Raw genomic sequence first — 4,618 nt, 5'->3', positions numbered from 1 at the left:
CCCAGAATTTGAATCCAAGGCAGTGACTCCAGAGGCTGCACACTTAAAGATGATGCTATCCCCCACTCTGCAAGAACTCTGGATCTTCAAGGATCCTTCTAGCTACCTGACCTTGGGTGAGTCACTTCTCCTCTGGGCCTCAGTCTGCCCATGTGTAATGTCTACTTCTTTAACCTGCTGCCCTCTCAGGGTTGCGGAGAGGAGCCCCGAGTTAACTCCAAATTGGAAAGGAGACCATAGAGACAGGATTTGGTGAATGAGCACTGCGTCTGTGCCCAGCCAGCGCTTTACATGCATGATCTCATTTAATCCCCTCATTCTCATCTTCTATACCTGAAATAACTGCAGCGCAGAGAAGGCAAGTGACTAACCCAGGGTTACCATGGGGAAAGGTCAGAACCAGGGTCCGGGTTCCCACCCTCTACCCTTGAGTTGCCTGTGGCAGAAGTACTGGACGGCCTAGGGCAGTGGTTCTCAGACCTGGCTGCACACTAGAATCACCTGGGGAGCTTTGAAAAACTTGGCCCTGGCCCCACCCCAAAACAATTAAATCTGGATCTCTGGGGCTTGACATTGATATTTTCATAAATCTCCCTAAGTTAATCTAATGTGCAGCCAGGGTGGCCTAGGGAACTGGGACAAAAGTATTATAATGATGGGGGAGGGGACCAAGTCCAGGCTGGGGTCAGGGCAAGAGGGAAGGAGCTGACTGAATGGGTCCTGGAGACTCAGCATCCCATAATATTTCTGAGTTGGAGGAGAGCCCTCCAAACCCAACAGCCCGTTTTACAAGGGGGAGCCTGAGGCCCACACAGGAGAAAGCTTTTGTCCAAAGGGACATAGGGACACATCTGGAGTTTGCATTTCTTTCCCTGCCTCTTAATAGCAAACCCTTTCCTCTGCCATGGGCAGGTGGAGCCCAACTTTTACAGATTCCCTTGCTCCCATTTTGTAGAGGAGGAAACTGAGGCTCCGAGGGGAGAGCCCGGCTGCGCAATAGCACACAGCCAATAAACATTAGAGTCGGGATTGGGAGGCTGCCTGAGCCAGCTCCTGGTACTGGACCAACTGCATCCTAGGCTGCTGGGAGGCTCCGCCCGGGGTGGCCAGGGAAGTCGGCAGGGTTAAAGAGTAGAGTAGGATCCCTGAGACGGTCCTCGCTTTATCCGGCCAAACCAGGCCTTCCGGGCCGCCCCGCCTCCCGCGCTGGAGCCGGCGGAGCCGGTTCGAGGCCAGGAGCTCTGGGAAGGAAGGCCTGGGGCCTGGAGCCCCCTCCCCTCCCTCTCCGGGCTCCTCCGGCCTGGAATTCTTTTAATCGGAGACAAAGCCTTTAATTCCGAGAGATCAGATGAAAGGCTCCAAATGCAAATGTGCGGGCAGGAAAGCTGCTGGTGAGAATAGGCTGCCTTCAAAGTCTAAATGACTAAACGCCTCAGCCGGCAGAAGAGGAGGGGCTCGAGCAGCCGCCCGGGCAGGCGGCGAGGCCGCGCCGGGCTCCCTCAATTGCTTCGATTCAGTAATTGATGGTTCCCAAGCAGCTCTTCAGAGCCCCAGGCGTGAAAAGAGTCCCACTGGCTTGTGCTGGCAGCCGGGCTCAGCTGCGTGACCCGGGGCAGTTCGGGCAGTTCACTTCATTTTTCTCGGAGCCTCAGTTTCTTGGTCTGTGAAATGGAACTAGTGGAACACACTCTGCGGTGGTGAAGCCGGAAAGAGAAAATGGGTCTGAATGGCGGGGCACAGGGTGGGTGCCGATGCAAGTCGGTGGCCTTCTTTCTTTCAGGTGTGCATATTCTCCTTCCTGCTTGATCCAGGCTCAGCACCAACTCTCCTAACTTTTCTTCAAATCTCTCCACCCTCTAAATTCCCTACCATCACCGCCCCCTCAAAGACACCTTAGTCGGCTTCCCTCGACCATTAGAGAGACGTCAGTTGATTGGCAAGTTTTTGTGCGGTCCTCCCTTCCAGAACTAGAGTGTCCATTTTTCTTTTTCTTTCTTTCTTTCTTTTTTTTTTAAATTATACTTTAAGTTCTAGGGTACATGTGCACAACGTACAACGTGCAGGTTTGTTACATATGTATATATGTGCCATGTTGATTTGCTGCACCCATCAACTCGTCATTTACATTAGATATTTCTCCTAATGTTATCCCTCCCCCAGCTCCCCACCCCACGACAGGCCCGGGTGTGTGATGTTCCCTGCCCTGTGTCCCTGTGTTCTCGCTGTTCAGCTCCCACCTATGAGTGAGAACATGCCGTGTTTGGTTTTCTGTCCTTGTGATAGTTTCCTTAGAATGATGGTTTCCAGCTTCATCCATGTCCCTGCAAAGGACACGAACTCATCCTTTCTTATGGCTGCATAGTATTCCATGATATATATGTGCCACATTTTCTTAATCCAGTCTATCATTGATGGCAGAATGTCCATTTTTCTCAGCCCCGCCTGCGGACAGGAATGGGGGAAGGAAGGAGGTGCTTGGGGTGGCGGTGGATGGATAGGTGGGGGGAGTGGAGAAGCAGGAGCTGGAAGACCAGATCACGAAGCACCTCAAGGGGTGTGTAAGCAGCCTAGGTTTATTCTTTTTTTTTTTTTTTTTTTTTTTTGTGAGACGGAGTCTGGCTCTGTCGCCCAGGCTGGAGTGCAGGGGTGGGGTCTCGGGTTCTGGGTTCAAGTGATTCTCCTGCCTCAGCCCCCCAAGTAGCTGGGATTACAGGCATGCACCACCACACACGGATAATTTTTTTGTATTTTTAGTAGAGACAGAGTTTCACCATGTTGGTCACGAACTCCACCCTAAGTTTATTCTAAGGGCAGAAAAAGCCATTGGAGGATTTTGAGCTGTGGTGTGCTATGATCTGATTTACATGTTTGAAAGATTTTTCTGGTTGTTGTGTGGAGAATTAATTGTAGGAGCACAGAGAGGAGGCTGTTGTTGGAGTCAGGGGAGAGGTGATGGCAGCGTGGCCCAAGGTGGTAGCCGTGGAAGGGGAGAGATAAGTCCTTGCCTTGCAATACTTGGATAGGAGATTCTGGGTAGGAGGGAAGTAGAGCCCCCAACTCCGGAGGCACCATTCTCAGTGTATTCTCTGTGCTCTAGAAGTGTCACTCACATAGACCCTCCCATGGGCATTGGGAGAAGGGGGCAGCAATCCTCTCTCAGCATGTAACCAAGGCCTGAAACCTCCATCTTAACCTCAAGTTTTGCCTTCCTTGCAACGAGCTGATTTGAGGGAAGTTGCTTATCCGTAGGCTCCCTTTACTTTCCCTTCCCCAGGGATATTGCTAGGAGCTTTAGGATATGGCTTCAACCTCCTATATGGCTGCTACGTTGCTCTGCAGGTACCGGGAACTGGGGTCCCTGTCTTCCCTTCATCAGGTCTCTGGAAAATGGAGAGAGGTGACTGATAGCAAAAGCAGACGAGGAAAATGGATCAAAAGGAAAAAGAGAAGGCCAGAATTGGAACATGGTGGGTGTGGAATATGGGTGGAGAGCTGGGGGGAACTGGGGGAGAAGAGACAGGGTAGAGTAGATGAGAAGAGGCTGATTGGGGCAAGTGTCTTGGGTGGAGCTCAGGAAGTCCACTGAGACCACTGAGGTAGGTTCAGATGCTGAGTTATGGGCCTAAACCCCAGGCCATGGAGAAGCTTGTGGATCCAGGAGCAAAGAGCACCAAGAGGGTGAGCAACTTTGCCCTGGGACTAGAGTAGAGGCCACTGTGACCCCAAGGGGTGTGGCCTGGAGTGGAAGCAGCTGATAGGAGCACAACAGGGGAAACCCTGAAGATGACCAATACTTCAGCAATGGTTAAGACATAGGCTGTCCTGGCAACTGGCCTTATCTAAGCAGTTTGCCCTGTCAGCGGGGCCCCATACAGAGGACAGGCCTGAGAAAGAAAAGCCTGGAACCCTGGGGCAGGACAGTGACAGGAGAGTCCTTTAGGAGGAGTGATGGATGTTTTAGGAGAGATGCCTTGGGGAAGCCACTTAGCCTCTCTGGGTCCTCATCTCCTTATCTTTGTGCCAGGACTGCTGTGCAGATCCAGCCTGGCCCAGAGCCCTGGCATAAGGCAGGTACCCAGTACTTAGGGTCTTCTCTTTCTGTGCCTGTCCTGTCTATCCAGCACCCTCCAAGCCCAAGCAGCTTGCTTACTGTTCTGCTTGCATTCAGTTGCTGGGTGGCTGCATTTTTTTCTGTTTTATGTGTTTTACTTTATTTCCTGTTGTCAATCAAAACCCCTGCTGAAGTCTGTGCAGCCAGGTAGGCTAAGTACTTGTGTGCTTGGCAGGCCTGGCTTGGGAGGGCTTGCACCACCCACTCATCTGTCTGCTCACCCATCCACTGGGCTGCCATGAGCCTTGTCCGCTAAGGTAGCAGTGGGGGTGCAGGGCATCCCACATCTGCTCCCCACCTTGCCCACTGAGGCCCCTGCTGCTGCCCAGGAGGAAGAGGCAGCTGAGCCAGGAAAGACAAGAAAGGAGAGGGGGAGAATGAATGACTTAGTCTTAGGGGGACAGAGAGAGCCCAGAGCAAGAGCACAAGAAGAAGAAGGGGTTTCAAAGTTGTAGCAACCACAGTGTCATACCTACAAGTTCTCTGTGAAGATAGAGAAAGTTGGTC

General features: G+C 52.2%; 1 annotated feature.

Moving 5' to 3' along the window:
• Window positions 1,194-1,704: an enhancer, noted in NCBI's record as "NANOG hESC enhancer chrX:68525339-68525849 (GRCh37/hg19 assembly coordinates)". NCBI's record gives its function as "activates a minimal SCP1, AML or CMV promoter by ChIP-STARR-seq in naive H9 embryonic stem cells {active_cell/tissue: H9 hESC(naive)}" and the evidence as "EXISTENCE:reporter gene assay evidence [ECO:0000049][PMID:30033119]".

This window comes from Homo sapiens, chromosome X (genome assembly GCF_000001405.40).
Source record: "Homo sapiens chromosome X, GRCh38.p14 Primary Assembly".
In the NCBI taxonomy this organism is placed as follows: Eukaryota; Metazoa; Chordata; class Mammalia; order Primates; family Hominidae; genus Homo; species Homo sapiens.
This window is presented reverse-complemented; position numbering and strand designations above follow the sequence as displayed.